This window comes from Homo sapiens, chromosome 13 (genome assembly GCF_000001405.40).
Source record: "Homo sapiens chromosome 13, GRCh38.p14 Primary Assembly".
NCBI lineage: Eukaryota > Metazoa > Chordata > Mammalia > Primates > Hominidae > Homo > Homo sapiens.
Window position 1 is genome coordinate 32,275,829 of NC_000013.11, and position 25,257 is coordinate 32,301,085.

The 25,257-nt window shown below is 39.4% G+C and overlaps 1 protein-coding gene across 6 annotated transcripts in view; it reads left to right on the forward strand.

The window, feature by feature from the left end:
• The window catches only part of FRY (FRY microtubule binding protein), a 267,352-nt gene extending 244,055 nt beyond the window's left edge, over nt 1-23,297 (forward strand). For 4 of the 6 annotated variants that reach the window (XM_047429999.1, XM_047430000.1, XM_006719749.4 and 1 more), the window contains 6 exons: nt 636-734; nt 2,637-2,720; nt 12,039-12,056; nt 13,805-13,915; nt 18,540-18,742; nt 19,374-23,297. In XM_047429999.1, coding sequence (XP_047285955.1) covers nt 636-734; nt 2,637-2,720; nt 12,039-12,056; nt 13,805-13,915; nt 18,540-18,742; nt 19,374-19,632 — 774 coding nt within the window. In that variant the 3' untranslated portion in view covers nt 19,633-23,297. The remainder of the gene's footprint in view (nt 1-635; nt 735-2,636; nt 2,721-12,038; nt 12,057-13,804; nt 13,916-18,539; nt 18,743-19,373) is intronic. The other 2 variants (NM_001411012.1, NM_023037.3) reach the window with 1 other exon arrangement.
• The last annotated feature ends 1,960 nt before the right edge of the window (nt 23,298-25,257 follow it).

The window sequence follows — 25,257 nt, forward strand, 5'->3', positions numbered from 1 at the left end:
TAACCATGCGAGACTGACGAGCTCCTGGAGGGTGGGAGTTGTGTGATACCTTTTTTTTTTTTTAGCCCCCATGATATGACAGAATCATCACATGCTCAGTAATTACTGAGGTTTAGAACCAGTGAGGATGTGCTTTGATTTTAAAAGTCTCTGAAGAGTCAAGTCCTTCCAAGAATCTGTTTGGTGGCTGTCTTATAGCAAAGAATACAATATGAAAAGTCATTCTGTCTTAAATGACTTAAGGTATAGATTAAATACAAAATAAGTTTGAAAGTCTTTTTGGAGGTTTGTCTTCACACTGCTTGGAGTATTATTGGGTGATGACAGTAGAAGTCGTGTATAAAATGGAAAACATATCTTAGTGTGGGCCTTTATGAAATACTTGGTATGTCTTATCTGCCTATACTAATATGGGAAAGAATGGACGTTTTCATAGGAGGTGTGCATTATCAAGCTCGGATTCAATTGTAATTGCAGCTGATAGTTGAGCAAAATTCCAAATTTCACAGCTTATTAAAATGGATGACACTTGTACCCCTTAACAGCACTTCTAAATATACTTCTGTTTTCTGTGTAGCCATGCCTTTGTGTTGGTATCTCTCTAGTTTTAATACCAATTATTTTCCTGTCTTTAGCTCCTTTCATGTGGACTTCTGGACAAGCTCAAGTTCAGTGTGTTAGAACTGCAAGAATATTTGGATACCTACAACAACAGGAAAGAGGCCACACTCTCTGTAAGCTTTTGTGTTTCTATGCATATGCAGTCAGTTAAAACCAAATGAACCCAACCACTCTGAGTTCTTGGGCGGGGTTGTGATTAACTTAAGACTTTCAGACTTCATCTTTTCCTTTGTTAAGGATTACAATTCCAATTTAATGGTGGTAGAACTGTATACAATATTAATTATATTACAAATGGTATCTACAAAAGAGAAATTTTTCAGCATTCACTTTTAGCCCTACCAAGAAATTGGAAAAAAAAATGGGTATGTACTTGATATGTTACTTACCAAAGTTACAACTTTTCTCAGATATTTGAAATTGGTGATTATTTCCTTCCAGTGTTAGCCTCACCCAAAACTAGTTGTGGCAGATCTCCTCCCTGTTCTCTTAGCCACTCTTGGAGGCTGCGTCTGCCAGTCCCCAGGGCTTCTCTTGGCCTCAGCTCTTGCTCTTTACTTTTTTCTTTCTTCATAGATCTAGATCACAAAATGTTAGAGACAGAGTGATCTAGAAACCATCCAAGCAAGCCACCTGTTTTCTGACAGATGCACAGGTGGAGGCCCAGAGAAGTCAGTGGTTCAATAATAAGAATAATTAATTGTATGTAGTATGTATTAAGCCCTTCCTATAGTATGCCAGGTACTATAGAAAAAGCAAGGGTTTTGAAGTCAGATTGACTTCAGTTTAAATCACAGCTCAGTTATTTAACGGTTAGTGACCTTGAATAAGTGACTTGCCGTCTCTCATCTCAGATGCAGCATCTGTAAGCCCTTGGTAATAATAACTAATTTGCAGGATTGTTGTGAAGATATAACAATTATAATAGTCATGGCAGCTATCATTTCCTGAGTCCTTTTTATGTGTCCAACAATCTGCTAAGAGTTAAATCTCTTAAATTATATCGTTTAATGCTCACAACTACCCTGAGAGTTGCTATTGTTACCCTCATTAGCTAGCTAGGAACTGGAAGAGTGGGATTGAAACCCAGAGCTGTGGGATTCAAAGGCCCACGCTCTTAACCACATCATGATATTGCCTTGAAAACAGAAATAATATCTGTAAACTGACCAGCACAATGCCACATAGAAAGAAAATGTTCATTGTAAAGTTATGGTTTGGGGTTTGTTTATTGCTATTGCTGTTATTGATGTTATCTTGACCTGCCCAAGGGCAAGAGTTCAAACTCTCCACCGTAACAATTAGCTTTGTCTTCTGTTTCTGTGGCCTTTTACCTGCCACTCTTTTCAGCTTCTCAGTCATCACCCAGTAAAAGTAATCTTTTTATTCTGGTTGGTGAACTAATCTAGCCTTTAATGTCAAGTGTGAACTTCAGTTCCTCAGTGCTCATTGTTTTCTGCTGAAAGGTTCCCTTTCACACCTGTGTTAGTTACTACCCCAGATGCTTAAGACTAGCAGGATCTCTCAGTAGCTGAGCTATTACCATAATAGCCTTTCTTATAGTGAAGGAGATCTGCCCCATAGCAGATGCAGCCACCGCAGCATGACAGAAGTAGGTGTGTCCAAGTCAGGTCATGTTGACCAGAATCACCCAGCCTGTGAGGAAGTATTGGTCCTGTCTTCTAACCCCAATTGTATGGAAGATTTCTAGCCATATATATTCATTTACACATAAATTAGAAACAGTGTGGTGAAACCATTCCCTAGGGCAACACAGTATAATATTGAAATTGTGTTTTTAGATGACCATTACTGAACCCATATAAACAGATACTTTTAATTTCCAACAGTTCATCTTTAACCCCCAAATACGACCCTTTTCAAAAAGTCATTACAGCACAATTTCATTTTACTATTATTAGAACTTTAATGAATTTTTTCCTAATGGAATTATACCAAAAATGTTCTCAGAACATTGCTGAATTTACCTATGTCTTTCCCTCTCTTTCTGACAGTGGCTTGCAAATTGTAAGGCAACATTTGCAGGGGGATCAAGAGATGGAGTAATTACCTGTCAACCAGGGGACTCCGAAGAAAAGGTAATAAAAGCCTGTTAGAATGGGTCTCTTGTGTGCTCTAACATTGTGTATTAGTTTTGGTCTACCCAAGAAGCCTGGAACTTGAGAAAAGAAGAGGCGGAATGAGTCACCCCAAACATTTACATGAAACCAACAGAGTAAGACAGAATGCCTTCCAGCATGACTGTGTGTTGATGGGATTTGTGGGGAGGTTTCTTCGTTTTGGAAAAGTAGAGGTATAAAATAACCTTTTTTGCTGGATACTGTCTAACTATACTAATAATTTCCTAATAAATTTATTCTTAATTCAGATTATAAGGCCAAATTTCATTAATTCTTCACTGAACCACTTAGTTTCTTTAATGAAGGAAGTTTCTCTCAACCTTTCAGCAGTCACTCTAAAACAGATTTTCTCATTTAGAATTGCTACACACCTCAGTCCAGTGTGCCGTACTATAAAGGAAATTAAAGGACAGAGTAAGAATGGATGAAAATCATTCATTCTGCAGTTACATATTGAGTGCCTCCTGTATGGCCCCATGGAGGACACACTCATGAGCAACAGACAAGGCCTCTGCTCTTGTGGAGCTTCTGATCTTGTCAGCGAGACAGACATTAATGAAACAGTCATACAGCTATTAACTGCAACAAGGACCATCAAGGACAGGAAAGAACAGAAAGCTGAGAGATCACAGAGCAAGGCTGCCTGATCCGATGGGGAGGGCGGCTCTGGGAAGGGTTCTCCATGGAAGTAGCATCTTGGCAGAGATCTAAAATATGAGATGAAGAGGAGTGGGCCTGTAGTCTGCGTAAGGGCCCGGAGGCAGGGGAACCAGGCCTTTCCAAGAACCAAGGAGAGCCCATGTGGCTGAAAGCACCGAAAGCCCTGTGGAGAAAAGGTTGAGAAGAGTCTGGAGAAGTTGGCAGAAGAAGCCCATGCAGGGCTTTGGTGTTTAACAGCAATAATAAGCAACTGAAAAGGATTAACAGTGGGGATGATTAGATCAAGGCTCTCCCACTCTGTCTACTGTGGAAACAGCTCAAAGTGGCAAGAGTGGTTCAGGGAACTTAGGAGGCTGCTGCCCCATCTAGGGAGAGAAGGTTTTACCTCGGAATTATGTCATTACTACTGGAAAAGTGTTTTACATGGCACACCCTCTGGAGGATCTGAAAACATCTTCCTGTGTTAGAAACAGTACTTTATTACGTAAAAAGAATCCAGTAAAGTCTGGTTTCTGGTCAGAGGTTTGGAGTGAACATTTTCAACCAAACACCAGTGGTTCCATTCCAATTTGGTATTTGTTATTGAGCAAGTTTGCAGTCCTGAGAGTAACATTGTCCATGCCAGCATTGATTGAGTCCCTTGGTAAGCCCCTTGATAAGTTTTAGTGAAGAGATCAGACATTGAAAAGCAAACTATAAAGCTGAGAAATTTCTAAAGAGGGCATTGAAGTAGAGGTTGCATTTCCACATTGCTGCCCTTCTTGAAGACGCACATTTATATCTCACTTTATGGTTTACAGAGCACTTTCACACCCCTTAAGTCATTTGCTCTCTCTGGATGGGAAGCAGGGCCATAGCAGTTGCCCGTTCTATAGCTGAAGACACCACAGCTTGACTTATCCAAGGCTCCATGGTTGAGAAGTGACAGGCAGAGATGCAGCTTGGACACAAAGTCTGTCAACATAGGCAAATAATAACTAGTTTGCATATATTTTTAAAATAAGTGTTTAATGACTTACATAATGTCTCCCATAAGCAAACAGAATTGAATATACAGTTCAAAAATCACAATAAACTCCAGCATTTCCCTCAATCCCTATATATGCATCTGTGATGTCCTGTCTCAGATGATTTGTGACTTAGATTTTCACTGAATAACCTGTGCCGTTAGCATATCCCAGAAGTAATATATTTTTAAAAAATGAAGTATTACCTAGGTTTCAGATTTTATGGCCACCCAGTAGTACTCATGGCTTGTCTTTCCAGCCCAGTCCTCCCTTCACTATAATCTGCTGTTAAGACAAATGCAGTCCAGAGAACAGTTATATCAGGTTAGGATTTACATTGAGCACAAATCGAATCCAGCTCATAGTATAGTTTGTATAGTAGTATGTAAAAAACAACTTGTTATCTGAAAACTTGTCCTCAATCATCAAATTCTGTTATATTCTCTGTAACAGAACTTCAGACAGGAAAGCACATTAATACATTGCAGACTTTTATGAACAAGAGTTGAAACCAAATCTATTATTTATTTGTTTGTTTCTTTATAGCTTCCGGGTTAACCCTAAGGATAACCAGAAATTCCAGTTAACTTATCCTATTTCCCAAACATTCCAACTTTAAAATACGTATTTCTGTTGTGCTTGTGGTTTATTTCTATTAAGTTGTTTTACTTGGTATTAGTTGCTCCCTCCTTTCTTCCTGGTTCTTCTTTACCTTCCTCAAACAAATGTTTATCTTATTTTTGCTTATTGTTTTTACTCATTTCCTATTCGTGCACCTCTTTCTTTGCTTCTATTTTGTAGTACTTATTCCTCTCCCTCTCTTTTCTTATGTTTTTACTAAACCCAAGGACTCAAAAAATAGAGTTCACCTATTTATTCATTTGTTTAGATGTGACAACTCTGTTAGCATTACTATAAAGGCTTGAGAGTACAAAAGTAGAAAGAAGAAACTAATGTTTTCAAGTACTGTACACACGTAATCTCATTTGATCCTTTACAACAGTCCTTTGAAATAAGGGTTTTTCCATTTTGCAACTAAGAAAACTGAAGCTGAGAGGCAAAGTCTAAAGGCCATATTCTTTCCATTTGTCCACACTTTCTCTAGCTTAATTTTGGAAGCAAAACATACACATGGGAAAACACTCAAGAATAATTCCCAGCATATGTCTAAATGTCTAATATGGCTTTAGGAATCTGCATGAATAAGGAGGGAAGATGCATAAAACACCCAAGAGGGATGAGAGTGGGATTTACTAGGAACGGAATGATGGAAGGGCAAATTCTGAGTCTGGTGTTTCCAATGTTTTTGCAAAAACCAACCAAGCTTTGGCCCCATTGTCAGTATTAGCTCAGTGTTTCAGAATATTTCCAAATGGCTCATGGACACACTGGTAACCAGAGAACTCAAGCAGTGACCAGATGTCCTGAGGAAGATGCTTCCAGGCCTACATGTGTAACAATTCTGGAGTCTGTGGTTGATCTGGAAGGCAAATTATATGCCACCTAACAAAAGAAGTTGGCAATCCTAGTAAGTCAGGCAAGGCGGGGAGATTTGTTTAAGTCGTCTGGATACTTGGTTACAGTTATTCTCTGTTTTAATTGGTTAGTAGATCCTGGAAATAGTCTGGCCACTGTGCATGCAGCTCAAACCTCACACTTTCTAATGCCACCAGCCTTGAGGCATGGCTAGGCACCATGCAGAGTACACAAATCAGGCAGCCTCGGTTCCCATCATAGGTTAACACTCGACAAGGCCGGAAATGGGCTGTGAGAGAAAACTGAGTCCTTACACACAAAAGGTAGGCCTTGAGGAGGAATGATGGTGTCATTCCACTTAAATATTAAGATCTTATATCTAGAGATGTGGAGATATAATTTTGCTGACTAGAGCTACCATTTGGCCTCCAACCCAAAACAAAACCCAACAAATGTCTGGCCTCAGAGCACTGCTTAGCTTACCTCTAAGTGATTCTCTCCAACACTCCTGTGTAATCAGGTTCTCTGTCTTCTGGAATGATTTGATGTTGCCAGTTACTCTGAGCACACCCTTGCCTGGGGACAGGTAGAATGGGGATAAGTGAACTTATAACTTGCAGAATCTATGTCAGGATATAAATAGCAATATGAATATACCAATAATTATTACTCATATCTGTTCTATTTCAAAGAAGTGTGCACTTCATGAAAGGATTAGTGCTTACCCGACTAAACCTAGCAAAGTAAATTCTTGAATAAAGATATCAGTCTGTCAGAGATGGTGACAGTGTACAGACAGGCATATGAAAGCTTCTCAACCCCCAAGCCCTACCCAGTCTGGTCCGGTCTTTGCCAGTAGAAAATTCCTAATCATTCTTAACAGGTGATTTAAGTGAGGATTGCTATAGAATTGTTTGTGAAAGACAATATATATCTTTGTTGGGTGCTGAATATTTATTTTTCTAGTTTTTCTTCTATTCTTAACATAAAGTTGTAGACCTAAGTATAACAAAGAAAGTTTATGCACTGGTGGCTTGTGAACTATAACCAATTCACAGACATGTTGTGTTAAGCTTGCACAATATTAACTGACCCTGCATTTAAAAATTTAAAACTTTCACACATACGGCCGAGCGTGGTGGCTCACGCCTGTAATCCCAGCACTTTGGGAGCGTGAGGCAGGTGGATCACGAGGTCAGGAGTTTGAGACCTTCCTGGACAACATGGTGAAATACCATCTCTACTAAAAATACAAAAATGAGCCGGGCACAGTGGTGGGTGCCTGTAATCCCAGCTGCTCAGAAGGCTGAGGCAGGAGAATCTCTTGAACCTGGGAGGCAGAAGTTGCAGTGAGCTGAGATCGCACCATTGCACTCCAGCCTGGGTGACAGAGCAAGACTCCATCTCAAAAAAAAAAAACAAAACAACAACAACGAAAAAAACTTTCACACATACACACACACTCAAAACAGAATTCCTGGTGTCTCTGAATAAGAAGATCTAGCAACACTGGGCCTGCCTTCCTCAGTGACAATAATGAGCAAGCACTAAGTGTAGACTGCCCTATATGGACTCTCCACCATCCCTGCTGCCCAGTGAGTTCCTAACACTGAATGCAAGAGCCAGGCACCAGTCATCATGATGTTTGGCCTATTGCTTTTCTTATAACAGAAAAATATTTCTCTGTACCTAAGTCCTCAAAATGAAGAATAAAGCTAGATAGAAGGGGCTTGAGTTTCCAAAAAGAAAACGGGAAAGAGTATTATTCTTTGCATATGCAAGAAGCGTCTCTGCATATGCAAGCACCTGTCTGCTGAACTCACTTTCTGAGGGATATGTTGGAGGAAAATTCTCAGCGCATGTTCAAAACAAACCATGTTTCTAAGCAATTTATTTCCAATATTTGGGAAGTATATTTTGGGGCTCTTTTTTAAAGACAGCCATTATAAGTCAATGATTTGGGCTTCTTGGTGATAGTAATACCAGTTCTCTGTGCAGCATACACTAAATAGGACATAAATCAAGGCATGTGATTTGCTTGTGTCATAAGAACACTTTACTCATTTGCGGACACTGCTTTAGTAGTGTTTTCTCAGCCTGCACACATCAAAAGGAGAAAAATCTCTTCATGACTTAAAATCAGCATTTCCAACTAATGATTTTGGTTTCCACCAACCTCTCCATCTCTTGTGGAATTCATTCTGGAGTGACCACTAGTCGAAGGTTTAAGTGAACATAAATGGAGGTCAGGGAACAAAGTCTGCAGACCTCTCGACTCTGGGTTCTGCAGGCAGTGGCTTTAGTCCCCTTATAGCTAATTAACATAATTTATCATCCAGTTCTGCAGAGGTGGCCCCAGAAAAGCTGGAGATGTTTCCATATGATGTATTGTTGATTTTAGTTAATGCATTCATAATTCAACAGATATTTCTGAGCACTACTTGAACATTTGACTCTTTGAACTCAAGTACAATAATTTATATTTAGCCCTACTACATTTCATCTTCTTATATTCAAATCATCATTCTGTTAGGGTCTTTTTGGACACTAACCTTCTCAGTTATATATTTTCTATCTACATAATCTATGAATGAGAAGCCTACAACCTCTGTTCTTATACAAATTGAACAAGTTAAGTGTTAAACAAGACAAGACTTTTCTCCAATTAAGTTATAATCTATTAAACATCATCCTTCAGATATAGTCAATCAGTCTTTCCTCTGTAAGCCATATTCTTTCTCATATTGGCTAAAGAAATGTCTGTTGAAGATAGCTTACAGATTTCTTGAAAAAAGTGAATGTCTCAGGATGTGTAATCTGTATCATAGGTGTATTTATCTTTCAAAGCTTTGAGGGATATTTATGACCAAGGTCCAAAAAACTACTTAACAAAGATAATGCCATAGCCATCAATGTGCCAGGCCCAAGCATTATTAGCAACAAGTGGGTACATACTATTCCCAACTTTTAGGAGATTTCATCATTAGGCTAGGTTATTTAAATTTTATCTCATTAATTTAAACCCAGGACTTTTGGAGATTAAATGTGATGAAAATAATAGCTACTATAGTACACTGTGGTTCATCTTCTCTCATATCAAAAGTTTCTTAGATTTTTACTGACTGGTTATGTCATAAGCATAGAATCCACCTGAGAACAGAAGAAAGAACCCAGATATGGCTATGCTACTGTCGATCAGCAGGAGTTCAATTATTCTGGGCTTTTAAAAGCTATGCATTCCTCAATTGTTTATGATAAATTCTTAACATCTTGGCTTCTTGATCTTTTGTTTCCTCATTTTGAGAAAACATACCTCTAAATCCAATTTTATAAATCAAGCCATATCAGGAGAGCAGGAAGGGGGCTTGAAGAAAATCCTCGTGACTAAATAAAACAAGGACATTCCCACATGTTCAAAAGAACCTAAAGCTGCCAAAACACAGATAAGTTTATAAAGACTTCTCAAGGGATTATTTTTAGAATGTGGATACAGAAAAACATTAGAACGGGACGGTGGGACAAGGGGAATTTTAATAATTTCCATAAAATGGCCCCCCAGAAAGGCTTTTTTCACTCTTTTTGGAACTCTAAATGCAAACTAGGTCCCAGCCTGTGGCCTACAAAAAGATTCTGAGATAATAAATATCAAGGAAGCCTGAACTAGCCTACCTAAAAAGGAACGTTTAGGAAGAATCCTGAGAACTGGCATTCATCACAGTTGGCCATCTCCCAAGAAAAACACTGTTTTGTGCCCTGAGAGCTGAGTGGGAGGAATTCATTGACAATGAAATTCCTTAGCACCAAGCTGGAGTCGAAAAGTTTCCTCTGCCTTTATTGAACAGAAAAGATTTTACTTGAACTGATTTGATGACCTCCTTGGATTATAACCTCGTTTTGGAAAGCAATAAAAAGCCGTTTTCTTCACACAAGACCTTGTAATTTACTCAGCACTTGCTTCATTTCACACTTCTGAAAAGTAAATCCCATAGTAGCAAATGTTTACTTCCTAAACTGCATACTAAACGTTTCAGTCATATTTGATGTTGTCCAAAAAGTCTTCGCACTGGAAATTCTGCGGCTATATAGACTTAAGACTCTCCCTGTGTGACTATTTTATATGACATTGTATTTCAGAACAGAAAGTTTGGTTTTAGAAACCTTTAGATGTAAAGTTTTCTTGAGAATAGTAAACACCTGAAGCTGTGTAGTCTCCACATCAGAGGCTTACAGGTGTTTGTCTTCCAAACTTTGAAAGAAATTTATGGCCAGGGTCCCAAAAACTACTTAGTAAACATAATATAATATGCATCAATGTGCCAACCCCACATGATAAGCAAGTGATAAGTATGGGAAGAATAGACCCTTGGAGGATAGGGTAGGGCTTGTTGGTGGCAGTCCTTTAATTACATTTGTCGATACTAATTAATAAGTTGATAGTTTCATTTGTTCTTATTTACTGTACCTTATTTTCAAGTACAATACACTAAACCGATGATAACTCAGATACTTTTTGAAAGAGCTTTAAAATAAGGGGGTTTTATTGGATTAGAAACTGTTAGGTCCTTAAATATTTTGAAAATTCAGAACCAGATATGTTGATGCATAATTAGGAATGGTCAATTTGATTTAAAAAAAAATACATTCTGTCAAGTTTTACTTATCTCTTTCTGCATACCCAAACTTTCCATAAACCAATTCTATGATATGGTGACATCAAAAAATGGTAGCTGCTGGCTGGGCGCGGTGGCTCAGGCATGTAATCCCAGCACTTTGGGAGTCCGAGGCAGGCGGATCACAAGGTCAGGAGATCAAGACCATCCTGGCTAACAAGGTGAAACCCTGTCTCTACTAAATACAAAAGCATTAGCTGGGCATGGTGGCGGGTGCCTATAGTCCCAGCTACATTGGGAGGCTGAGGCAAGAGAATGGTGTGAACCCGGGAGGTGGAGCTTGCAGTGAGCCAAGATCGCGCCACTGCACTCCAGCCTGGGGAGACAGAGCAAGACTCTGTCTCAAAAAAAAAAAAAAAAAAAAAAAAAAAAAAAAAAAAAGATGGTAGCTGCTGTTGAACATGGCCCAGTTACAAATCTCATTATTTTAGACTAACTATTAGTTGTAGATTACTTTTAGAAATTGTCTATTGAGTCCAGGCAAGGTGGCTCATTCCTGTAATCCCAGAACTTTGGGAGGCCAAGGCGGGCAGATCAAGAGGTCAGGAGTTCGAGACCAGCCTGACCAACATGGTGAAACCCCATCTCTACTAAAAAAAAAAAAATCAAAAATTAGCCAGGCGTGGTGGCACGCGCTTGTAATCCCAGCTACTCAGGAGGCTGAGGCAGGAGAATCGCTTGAACCCAGGAGGCGGAGGTTGCAATGAGCCAAAATCGTGCCACTGTACTCCAGCCTGGGCGACAGAGTGAGACTCCATCTCAAAAAAAAAAAAAAGAAAGAAATTGTCTATTGGAGAAAAAATTGTTATAAAAAGTAAAATGCAAGAAAATTACCTGTCATATCTCACACTTGTTTGAGGGCATACAATGTTTAGTCCTTTGAAATTAAAAATTATAGCAGTCCTATAAAATATTCTCAATGTGCAAGGCAATCCAACTAAAGAAAATACCATGTAGATTGTTCATTATATTCAATGTTAATTGGAAGGTCATAGTTTAGCAGACATGAAACTGAACATATTAAAGACTCTGCCTTAATACAAAGCAATAGTCTAATTTGTTTGGGGCTATAATTCTTCAAATAACTAAGCTGGCTTCCTCTCAGTTTTACTGTGTTCACATATTATGCACACTTATACGCTAAAATCTTCAAGCAATAAAAGCTTTGATTTTTGGTCTCTAAAACTGACTGACAAAATCTAAACTGATTAATCAGAGAACCTAAAAACGTAAACATTATGTTTTTTCAGTGATATGTTTCCCATTAGAGCTTGTTTTTAACTGGAACGCTATGCATGTTGAATGGGTACGACATTTGCAACATTTATCAAGTTTGGGTGAGCAATGCTAATACTGCTGGTGGTTCTGCTCTTGGAAAAGGGCCGTGCTTTCTGTTGCATGCAGACACTGACCCTGTACTTTCTTTCCTTTCCTTTGTTTCCTGTGCCATGCTTGCTGTGTAGCAAATGGAATCTCTTGCAGTAAGTTAACTTTCTTTCATACTCTTTGTCCATTTAGGCATGGACCCATAACAAAGCCTATTTTTACCGTTACTGTTACATCTCTTAGCATGTTCTCCCTTTCTCATTTTAATTTATTTTATTTGGTAGATTAAGACATGGCAGTTTATTAGTAGCATTCTGGGCTGCTTTCGCCCCAAAGTAGAAACTTACATTGCTATGAATTATCATATTATCAGTGGAATATTTTGTGTAATAATTACCATGATTTGGCACTTAGGAAAGGCAGAGTTTTCATAGCTAGGTTTCACCCAAATTGTGAAGGTAATATTGTTTTTAAACAATACTTTTTTATTTATTTGCAAGTCTCTGGCAGTTATCTTTTATACCAGAGTTTTAAAGGTTTCTCTAAAGAGAAGCTTAAAAACCACAAAATACAATGTTTTACTAAAACAACCAAACATCCAGTTTGAGTTAATTAGTCAGTGTAGCTGCTTCTTTAATCTTAGGCCTGTTACCAGTATTGAGAGATCAAAGAATCTAGGCAGAATTGGTTTTCCCCTAAAGAGCAGGGAAGAGCTGGGAAGAGAAAGGAAACCATTCAGCATAGTCTTAGCGTGAATTTTAGTAACTTTTAAGATTTAGGATCAAAAGTCTGTTAATAATACCAATAGAATATTCTTCCTAAAACCTAAATTCTTGTGATTTCTCTCCTTAAACAGATGGGAGGAAACAGTTTTAAGTCACCTTAGAAGCTCTCGATTCTGAGCTGCATTCTTTGTAGTCCTTGGTAAAAGAAAGGCCGTATTTATCCTACCCCATTTGAAAACTGAACAGTGAAACATTTAGTTTAAACCACATATTTAATCCACTTTCACTGGTGACTGCTGGCCATGAAATTCTATTGAGCAAAGGCTGTTCCTTTCCTTTCACAGAATCCCATCCACTCACTACCTGGGAGCAAACTCATTCTTGGAATAAAATAGGCAAAGTGTAGAGGGTACAGCTCAAAGACTAGTCTTGTCACTGGCATTGGAATTGTTATTTTTCCCTCATACTATACATAAGCTGTGTAATGAACAAATTATAGGGTACAGAGGCACAAATGTGACCCTGAAACATTTTAAATTCGAGAGGTATTTATGTGGCTCAAGGGCCATCGTGTATGATTACTTTTTGATGTCCTTTCCACAGAAATTTTCAAATGTGTTAATAATTTCTTTTTTTCTAAGCATTTTTGGTCCCTTTTTATCTCTCTTTAATTCAACAAGTATTTACTGAGCACAGAGTAGACGGATCATCAGTAAGCCTGACTGTTAGGTTTACACAAGCCCAGGCGTCTACAGAATTTATAAGTTTAACACCTAGAACTACTTAATGTTTTGCCTTTCAAATATACTTTTAATAAAAGGAAATTTTTCTTTTTAAAAATAATTTATAGCTTATAAAAATGAAGACAACCACTCAGCTATAATTGGTAGGTATTTAACTGGCAAATATAATGGAAATTTGGTTGTTCACTCAGTCCCTTTATAGGTGCTACTCTCTAATTAGTCATCCATTACACAAACTATAATGGAAATTATACCGTGGATTTCTCACTGGTATTTATTTAATGACTGTATTTCATTTTTCTGTTTTATTTGGAATAACAGCTGGTTATGTTTTCTTAATTTAAAAAAAAAGTTTGTCTCCATTGAGATTTCACTAGTTATATGTGAATGATCTTTAACAATAACTGTTTCTTCCCATGCAATTTCTCTCTTTAGCAATTGGAACTGTGTCAGAGATTATATAAGCTACACTTCCAGCTGCTATTGCTTTTTCAGTCCTACTGTAAGCTCATCGGCCAGGTGCACGAAGTTAGCTCCATGCCAGAGGTGAGTCCACACGCTTCCCAACCCCACGTCCCACCACAAAAACCATTTCTTTTGTTCTTCCTCACTCCACCCCTTTTATAACTGCCCAAGTGATTTTATTCCCGCATAATTATTTTGCTCAAACACAATTCTGAAATAAACATGTCTTGTATGTATTTCTATTCTCATTTTTAAAAGCAAAGTCAGGAGTAGGTATGGAAAGTGAGGTGCCTCAAAATTTAAGAACGCGTGTAGGAAGGAACCTTCTGTGGGTTACGGCCTAGGTGCCTTGCTTGCATCTCCCTGATCCTGGCCCTGGGTCTGGGCATCCTTATTTGAAAACTTTCCATGTGTGTGGGTTTTCTTCTTTACATTAGTTTTTCATACTTGCCTTTGCCTTGAGGTAAGAAGGAAATGTCTGTATGATGTGTTTGGTTCTCTTCAGTTTCCCTGCCCTGCTTAGCACCAGGATATTTTAATATTTTAAAATATTTAAAATAAAATAACTTAAACATATTACTGCTGAGTGAGCCAAAATTTTTCTACAAATGAAGAAATACTACTGTAATGTAGTCAGTGGAATAATGGTGCTGTATAGTGGATACTATAGAAGCAAAGAGGACTAACGGCTCATTTGCCTAGGGGTAAGAAAGGTTGAAACTGAAGAGCTTGCTGGAGGAAACCACACCTGAATGGACTCTCAGAGGGTGAGTTGGAGTGAGGGAGGAGCATTCCAATAAGAACAAAGAGCATGGCCATAAGCCTGATGGGAAGAAAGAGAAAGGAACTACAAGCTACTTAGTATTGCTAGAATAGAAGGTGCACCAAAAAAGAGCTATGAGATAAGGCAGAAGAGAGAGGGGTAAAGGCGAGATCATAAGACATGCCGCACCTAGGAGTATTTCAGGTAGATCTCTCTGGCAGCTATGCGGAGGGTGGGTCTGATGACAGCTAGAACAGAGACATGGAGACCAGTGATGAGGCTGCTGAAATAGTTCAAACAGAAGGAGAGAGTTTGAACTGGGACAGAAGCGCTAGGTATGGAGAGGAGGAAGGAAATGTGAGACACGGGACAAAAAAATCAATGAAACTAATGGGGGGATGAAGGAGAAAGAAGAGTTGAGGAGAGGATGAGACTCAGGTTCCATCTTATAGAAACCAGGTGACCAGTAGCACCAAAGCTGAAACAGGGATATAAAAAGAAGGACTGAGGCGATGCTGTGTCCAGACAGTCAAGCCTTCTGCCGGCTAGTCAATGGCTGCATACTGGACCAAGACCTGGCTTAAACGGCGACTGACCTCTTGCAGGTGGTTAGACGTGAGGTCAGGGGAGAGATCTGAACAAAAGGACAGATGTGATTGTGAACAAGCAGAAGTCGATTAAACCATGCCAGTGACAGCAGAGAAGTGAGGATGAAGCCTGGGAAACCTCACCGTCTAAGAGCAGAAGAGGAAGAGCCACAAGAGACAAACTACAACCATTTTACCATTTTTTTATTACTCAGTTTGAAAAAAGGAAAAAACTATACGACTTTATACTTTCAAATGCTTATTTCAAGAAAGTAGGCCTTCACAACCAGTTTTCCTCTATTCAATTATAAGTTGTCAGATAATAGGAATCAACTCTTTTCTTTTTTATTTGCCACATGGTCAAGATAAACTTTACTTTTTCTTTTTCTTTTTTTTTTTTTTCTTTTTTCGAGATAGAACTTTGCTCTTGTTGCCCAGGCTGGAGTGCAATGGCACAATCTCAGCTTACCGCAACCTCCGCCTCCCAGGTTCAAGCGATTCTCCTGCCTCAGTCTCCTGAGTAGCTAGGATTACAGGCATGTACCACCACACCTGGCTAATTTTGTATTTTTAGTAGAGATGGGGTTTTGCCATGTTGGTCAGGCTGGTCTCAAACTCCTGAGTTCAGGTGATCCACCTGCCTCGGCCCCCACAAAGTGAACTGTGAGCCACCGTGCCCCGCCAGGATTCACCATTCTTGATGCCATTAAGAACATTCATGATTCGTGAAAGGAAGTCAAAATATCAACATTAGCAGGAGTTTAGAAGAAGGTGATTCCAATGGACGACTTTGAGAGGCTCAAGACTTAAGTAGGGGAAGTAACTGCAGATGTGGTAAAAATAGCAAGAGAACTAGAATTAGAAGTAGAACCTGAAGATGTGACTGAATTGCTGCAGTCTTATGATAAAACCTGAATGGATGAGGAGTTGCTTCTTATGCATGAACAAATAAAGTTTTTTTGTTGTTGTTGTTTGTTTATTTGTTTTTGAGATGTAGTTGCACTCTGTTGCCCAGGCTGGAGTGCAATGGCACGATCTCGGCTCACTGCAACTGCCACCTCCCAGGTTCAAACGATTCTCCTGCCTCAGCCTCCCGAATAGCTGGGATTACAGGCCCGCACCACCATGCCCAGCTAATTTTTGTATTTTTAGTGGAGACGATGTTTCACCTTGTTAGTCAGGCTGGTCTCGAACTCCTGACCTCAAGTGATCCACCCCCGTTGGCCTCCCAAAGTGCTGGGATTACAGGCATGAACCACCACACCCGGCCCAAACAAAGTTTCTTTAGGTGAAATTTACTCCTGGTGAAGATGCTGAGAACATTGTCAAAATGACAACAAAAGTTTTACAATATTACATAAACTTAGTTTATAGAGCAGTGACAGAGTTTAAGGTGATTGACTGCAGTTTTGAAAGAAGTTCCAAGGTGTATAAAATGCTGTCACATGCTACAGAGAAATATTTCATGAAAGGAAGAGTCAATCAATAAAGCAAACTTTGGCAGGGTGCGGTGGCTCACGCCTGTAATCCCAGCACTTTGGGAGGCCAAGGTGGGCAGATCACAAGGTCAGGAGATTGAGATCATCTTGGCCAACATGGTGAAACCCTGCCTCTACTAAAATACAAAAAACTAGCCAGGCATGGTAGCCCGTGCCCGTAATCCCAGCTACTTGAGAGGCTGAGGTAAGGGAATCACTTGAACCCGGGAGGAGGAGGTTGCAGTGAGCTGAGATCATGTCACTGCACTCCAGCCTGGTGACAGAGCAAGACTCCATCTCAATAAATAAATAAATAAATAAATAAATAAATAAATAAAGCAAACTTCATTATTGTCTTATTTAAAGAAATTGCCCCAATCACCCCAACCTTCAGCCACCACCATCCTGATCAGTCAGCAGCCATTAACATTAAGGCAAGATCCTCTACCAGCAAAAAGATAATTACTCACTGAAGGCACAGATGATTGTTAGCATTTTTTAGCACTGAAGTGTTTGTTAATTAAGGTATGTATATTTTTAGACTTAGTGTATTTAGACTACAATATTGTGTAAACATAATTTTTATAGGCATGGGGAAATCAAAAAATTGACATGACTCACTTTATTGCAGATGTCTAGAACTGAATATTTCCAAGGTATACCTGGTGTGTGTATTCATATGGGTAGGTACACACACAGTGTTTAAATACTACATAAGTTTTAAATAATGTATATATACACACATAATGTTTAAAACTTATCTAGGTTTAAAATAAGGAGAAATTTGCTTTCAAATTTAAAACTACAAACAAAATTAAGATACTCTAATATCTTGTTTTAAAAGATTATTTCACTAAATTTTAAACCTACTTCTGTAGTAGGTAGTTGCATTTAACAGGCATGTGTGCCAAGAAAAAATAATCCTTCAAGGCTTCAGTTTTTTATTGTTTGTACCGTGAGTGAGTTGGGAATGAAGAGGAAAAGCAAAGCTGTTGAATAAATAACTTTCCAAAGTAAACAGGCATCATCAACTTGCATTACAAAGAGGAAAAAAAACCTTTAATTTTATGCCAATTTTTTTAATGCTCTTGAGATCAAATTGCAAAACAACCATCTTCCGTAGTATATTTTGAGACACTTAGAAGTGACACAGGTTTTCTTAATCTTTACTTTTTAACACTCTGGATCCTTTGGTTCCAGTAACTTCGAGGGAAAATATCTTTTACTGCTGTAGCATTAATACAAACATTAGTTTAAGATTATTCTATCTCCTCAAAATTGTGTCTTCAGCTTTTTCCCATGGTGTGGAACCAAGAGTGAGAAAAACTTATTATTAGGACAGCGTCCATGGTCACAATTACATTAATTGAGCACTTAGGTGCTGGACTGTACTAAGCATTTTGTATATATTATTTCCACTTAATCTTTAAAATAAACCTTTAGGATGGCTATTATCTTCAGTCTCACAGATGAGAAAACCGAGGCACATAAAAGTCAGTTAACTTGTCCATCTTCCTACAGTACACTGCAGAGCCGGCATTTGAACCCAGATCTACTCACTCTTGAGCCTGATCTCTTGTACTCTTTCCTTCTGTATTTATTCCCTATTTAAGTCTAACTTAAATAGAACACATTTTAAATGAAGTCTTAACCTTTTCTATAAGGAGAGCATCTCAGCAGTTGACACATACTCAATGCATCCAACTCCACAATCCCCTACACATACCATGGAGTACAATGTCATCTATCCTATCTGAATTTACCAAGGTATTAAGCTTATGCTTAACCACACCCATAAGATCCTTTTTTTTTCCTTTTGGGATGTAAAATTCCCCCAGCACCTAAATATAGTTTAAAAAACATTTTTTTTTAAATAGCTGCTGAATATGTCCAGGGAACTGAGTGACCTAAAGAAACACCTGAAGGAAGCCAGTGCAGTCATTGCAGCTGACCCTCTCTATTCAGACGGCGCGTGGTCCGAGCCCACCTTCACGTCCACTGAAGCAGCCATCCAGTCCATGCTGGAGTGCCTGAAGAACAACGAACTCGGCAAAGCTTTGCGGCAGATCAGGGAGTGCAGGTGACTCTGCTATTTCTTTTAGAGGTGGTTGCAGGAAATGCACACCTGGTTGTTACTCTGTCATGGTTGGAGTCTAGCCCACTACGGAAGGCTAGATATTTTACAGATCTCTTCTCAGATCTTTACTGCTGCCAAACCAGAAACACTCAGCTTTCAGAACACTACATATTGAAAGTGTTGGTGTTGGTTCTGGCCATTTGTCGTCCCTAAAATGACAAAATGCTGAAGCACTTCAAAATATACCTTTATATAATTTTTAACTAACATTTGAATATATTCTTTTTGGTTTTGCCCCTACATTCTGATATTGTATTCACATTCATTGAAACCAGAAGGCTATAGCAAATAAGGTAAATGTTTTAGGAGTGTCAGATTCCATTCTGATATTTTTATACTTTTGATATTTTACCAAAATAATATTCTAAAATTGATTATGGTGATGTTTGCACAACTCTGAAGATACTAAAACCCACTGAATTGTTTACCTTAGATGAGTGAATTACCTGATACAGGAATTCCATCTCAATAAAGCCTTTTTAAAAAGTAATACTCTTATATTAATGAAGACTCATAAGCTCCCAACTTTGTGACTAATAGTGCCTCTAATCTGTGCTGTTCTTTTTGACTGCAGAAGTCTGTGGCCCAATGACATCTTTGGAAGCAGTTCTGATGATGAGGTCCAGACACTACTGAATATTTATTTCCGTCACCAAACTCTGGGACAGACGGGTACTTATGCCCTGGTGGGGTCTAACCAGAGCCTGACCGAGATCTGCACCAAGCTGATGGAGCTGAACATGGAGATCCGGGACATGATCCGCAGGGCCCAGAGTTACCGAGTCCTCACTACTTTTCTTCCAGACTCCAGTGTTTCTGGCACTAGTCTCTGACAGGAGCCTCCTGTCCCCACTGGGTTCCAAACTGGCAGTGCTGCCATGCTGGGGCAACGTCATTCAGTGTCTTCTCGGCCTTCAAAAGGCTTGGACAGACTGTTCTCCCTCTTGTTACCTGTAGGGCTTTTTCTAAAGAGGATGGCAGAACTTCCAACGTGTAGCAATACTATAAGAACCAAGGTAGCTTAGAACGTCCTGGACAGACTCCACTCATCATGCTGTGTGGCACAAATGTGTTACATTTGACCGAGCATATGCAACTCGCTACTGAAGAAGTGACTTCCGTTGCATACCAAAGCCGACTACACTGAACAGTACCTTCCTTTCTAGAAACAATTTTAGATTGGCAAAAGTGCAATGTTTTCTTCACTCAAAAAATTTTATATTCTCAAACATGTATATTCTTTCCCTGTCTTGTTCCATTTTCTTTTCTTTTTTCTTTTTTCTTTTTCCTTTCTTTCGTGGGCTGAGAAAGGGGCAGGCAAAATGAAGCTGGCCACTGAAAACTGTAAGATGGTCAAAAGCTGACAGCCTGTGTATGTGAAAAGGGAATTGTAAATGGACTGCAATGTAATGTACACTGTAATTTGAATACAATTACTGTATCTAAAAGGAGCTGCTATGAAGTACCTTTCTTATGTTGCTAGGCTACTGTTTCTGAAAGCCCTGGATCTCTTTGCACCAAAAATGGTCCAGATAGACTCTTTTTAAGGATCTTGGCTGCTTTTTACTAGAAGGTTGCTTTTATGAGCATATTTATACTGCTGAAGGATGAGTGTTAATTTTAATTAACTTTGCCGTTTTGTAGAGAAAACTATTCACAAGATAAATTCCAAGTCTTTTCACCTGTCAGGCATGCATATTTTAATATCTGTTTGGATAGTCAGAAGTAGAATCATAAAGGTAAAATATGAGTTGTTACTTTGTTTCTTCGATGTCATATTTTATGTGTAATATATATGTAAAGGGCCATTCTTAAGTTCTCTCCTTAAACTTAATGCTGTCAAGTGTTAGATGTGTGCATGTGAACTTGTTGCACTGCAGAAACATATTCAGAGTTTATCTATGTAACTTATTCACTCTGTAAATACATTTAAAGTTTTTGTGATGTAAGCTTAATTGATATTCTGTTCAGAACTTTCTTTAGACTAAAAAAAAAAAAAAAGACAAAATACACGTTGACCATGGACTTTATTTCTGGTTAATGAAAATGTTTGTCCTGGGCACACATGAAGTTTTGCATGTGGGTTGCCAAAGTAATAACCCCAAGGGGCACCCCTCGCATGTATGATCTGAATGGCACCCGTGGGGGTCATGCCATGCATGGCCCTGTGAAGCTGGAGGTAAGTATTATCTCTTTGGAAGTTGGCATCAAAACTGTGAGCTTCAACCAATTCTCTGTAATCAACCAAAGAGAAAAATCAGAAAAAAGTGAGAGCTCTAATTCTCCATAACCTATAATTAGGTTGTCATCCTTCAAATTTGGAAGTTAATTCTATAGTGAGCAGGAAAAAGTAGTAGAGTTGTAATTCTGTCACCAACACCTATCCCCCAGGAACACAGGGAGAAACATGTAACAATCTCATTTATGCCGTCTTTCTACTCATATTTTACATGGACCAACAAATATAGCTTGCTTTACTAGCATATGGCTACTGAATCATTGGCAGTAATATTCTAGGAGTATTCTATAGAAGAGAGCCTAACCTAGGATTTTTTTTAAATCCTAGTAGTTGCTACAGATGCAACTACTAGATTTTAATAATTTTCTGGACTGCTGAAAACATATTTTTCTGATGATTTATTTTTTTCAACTTGCCTGAAAGATGATTTGCTATGATTTGTAGAAACAACTGAATCATGATCTCTCTGAAAAATATCATAAAATAAAGGTTTCTGTGGCTAACCACAGTAGACAACTTTCAGAGAGTTTTGTTGGGAGCCACAGTAGAAAGAACAGATTCGTCATGAACTGAGTTTTCTACCATGGCTTCTTACCCAGCAGAGAACCACCGTGATGGTTTACTCTTAAAAAGGGAAGGAAAAAAAAAAAGGATTTCAACAGTACATTACAATCCAAGATATTAACATAGGAAGCAGTGGTCTGTGTTTTTCTCAATTTTATTTTTAAAAGGAGATGTATTAATGTGAAAGGTTTCTTCTACTTTTCCTCTATCTCTTCACCTCCTCTACTTTAAGTGGAGATGGGAAAAATTGTGTAGGATGCAGCCCCACGCCAGCAGAGCCCAGCAATAACTTTAGATCTACCAGTCAAATCTTGTCGGCTATTGCTCTGTGCCTCTGTTACAGAAGCATTAATGTTAATTGCCTTCCCCAGGGATACAAAGAAGTAGAAGTACCAAAGGAAAGGGTAGATATTTAACAGATGCCTCAGTGATAAGAAAGATGCCTCCTTGTGTCTCACTGTTTTCTAGCACTGAAACATGATACACTTTGTATCCACCTGCAGAATAAAGCAATCCAGACAGGCGCTCTGTAACTTAGACATCACTTGATTAAAATTATAGTCTCCAAATATAGTGTTTTAGAAAAGGCACTGCACATTTTTAGAGGCACGTGAATGTCATTCCCACCTCTAACCCATCTAACATCGGTGAGATGTTAAGAAAATGTGCCGATGTTACTGTGAAATAAAGATGCCTGTAATTAATTGTAGGCATCACACACATGCGTGAACATCCAGAGTTAGGTCTCAAGGCTCTTCTGGTTCTAAGTCCTAACAAACAATGATCTTTTCAGTGAACTGTAGAATTCTGGAAAGAATAAGCGTACCTCCAGGCTGCTTACATCAATAGCTTACACGTGCTTCCTGATGCCTGCCTTAACAACAAAAAATTCGTGTCCATAGGTGAGTATTAGGGTATGTTCATTGTATCTCAATGAAACTAGTTTTTAAAGTTTTCAATGCATTTGTTTGAGATCAATTAATATTTGGATACCTATCATGACCCAGGATATTTCTTTGTTCAGCAAATATTTATTGCATGCCCACTCTGGGCTAGGCACTGTTTTAGAGGACACCGCAGCTATCAAGGCAGATGTGGTCCCTGTTCCCATGAGGCTCCTACATTTGAGTGGAGGAAGATGTACTTGTCTACGTTGGGTGATGATTAGTGCCATGAAGAACAAAACGGATACAGTGAGTAATGTGGACAGGGCTATCTTAGCTATCACTCTAATAAGGTGATATCTGAGGAGAGATCTGAATGAAGTGAGGATACAATGGATATCCAAGGAAAAGAGCATTCCAGCAAAGGAAAAAACACATGCAGAGACCCTGAAGGAGAAGCAGGGTCACTTTGTCAAAGGGACAGCAAGGAAGCCAATGACCGGGTGAAATGAGTGAAGAGAGCGTTCAGAGAGGACAGCCAAAAGCTCTGTGGGCCACGGCAGGACTTTGTCCCTTGCTGAGCAAGATGGGAAGCCACTGAATGTTTGCGGGCAGGGTAGTGACATGCTGTGACTTATGTTTAAAAGGATTACTCCTTCATAGCGATGAAGAAAAGCTCTATAACAAAAGTTCCGTTGTGGTGGTTATACAGCATTGTGAATGTACTTAATGCCAATGAATTGTGTACTTTAAAATGGTAAATTTTATGTTATATATGTTTTACCACAATAAAAATAATTTTTTTAAAGGATCATTCTGGCTGCTATGTGCAGAATAGACTGCAGATGGGCAGAGGTAGAAGCAGGAAGACTAGAGAGATGGCTGTGGCAACAGTGCAGTCACCAGGCGATGCTGGCTTGGGCTAGGGTACTAGCAAGGGATATGATTAGTTGTGGGCATATTCTGGAAATAGTTCAGAGCTAGAGCTGACAGGGCTTACCAATGACACGTGGAATGGGAGAGAGTTTAGCCCAAACAGCTGGAGGAATGGAGTTTCCACTAACTGAGATGCGGGAATGCATGTTTGGGAGATAGAAACCAAGATTTATTCTTCAGACATGTTAACTTTGAGATGTCTGATATCCAAGACAAGATGGTGAGTAAACAGGTGGATGTGTGAGTCTGTTGTTGAGGAGCAAAGTCTGGGCTAAAGACACACATATGGCATTTAAAGCCCCTGAGAAAAAAGTAGGATACTCCCCTGTCTTGTCCAGCCGGGACTGGGATCTCTCATAAAAATTAGAGTGTAGGTAATGGGCTCAAAATTTCAGATGCACATTAAATCATGTCAGGGACTTAAAACCCCAACGCTCAGCCTTCGTCTTAATTGATGTAATTGGTCTGAAGCTGTGCTCAAACTCCAGTGCTGTTTAAGTTTCCCCAGATGATTCTAATCCACTGCCAAGATTGGAACATTGCTTTCTCCTTTCTAGACCTAAGAGTCACCCCAGGGTATTTGTCAAAAATGCAGAATCCCTCAGGTTGACCCCTCTGGAGACCAGTTTGGTAAATCCAGCGCAGGATCCCTCAAATCAGCATTGTAACAGCCACTCCACTTTGAAAGACACTGAACTAGGAGAAACTTCCTATATAGCGAAGTGCTCTTTCTTCTAAAGCACACCCCCAGTTGTTTTTCCACGTAGGCTGTTGGTGTAGTAATTCTACCCAAATCTGTCATTGATCTTTTTGTAACTTTGTTTCCTATTTGAGGTCACAGTGAGTGAGTGACTAGAATTTACTGCATCCACTTACAGATCAGTTTCCTGGCAGATGCCTCCTTCTCTGTCACCATCTTCTGTAATCCAGATCCTTCTTTTAACAGCAAACTTGAATAGATATTGTATTCAATTTTCAGATTCCAAGAACTTGGGCCACCTGGTGCGAACTTCCAGGAGCTCCTCGGCCAGGAGAACAAAGAGATTCCTCCCGGTCCCCTTTACTATGTCCAACCCTTCTCTCCTCATCTCTATTTCGAAAAGCCCAGAGACTTTGAAATTCTTGCCACCTGGCTGTACTAGCCACTTCCTTCCCCAACTCCATCACTGTCATCCACAGCAGTGGCTGTGACCCTCAGCTGCATTAGAAGCACTGGGGAAGCTTTTTAAAAATTCTGAGGCTTGGGCCCCCCTCCGGATCCCGTAAATCCTTTCTAACGCTCCTCTGATGATTTTGAATTGCAACCGCGCTTGGGAACTGGTGACCTAAAGCCCTCCTGCTTCCTGCCCCTTATTCATCGGAGAGACTAGAGCTTCTTGCTCACCCCAGCTTCCGATGTCGTTTCCAGGACTTCAGGAGTCTTGTGTATAACCTGTATGAAATCTTTTCCCTCTCATCCTGTTAACATTCTTACCTCCAGGCATTTTCACTCTTTTCTACCTTAGCCACCCAATTTCCTGGCTATACCAAAACCTGATCCATAGCAGTAAGTGAACCAGCTCCAGAATCCCACCTTCAGGCCCCCTACTCAGGAATTTTCCCAGTTCCCCTTTACTCCAGCCCCCACCCCTCTGACAATTCTCCCATCATGAATATCAGTCTGTGGCCCTCACAGGTCTTTACTCTTCTTTGGAGCATGTTTAAATTCCATGGGTCATTATAATCCCTCTCTTGCTGACATTCACAAGGGATGCCCTACCCCTGTCTTACTCAGCTGGTTAAACCCCAAGCCTGGCTGAACCTAAAACTGACTCTTCCCACACCTGCACCAGAAG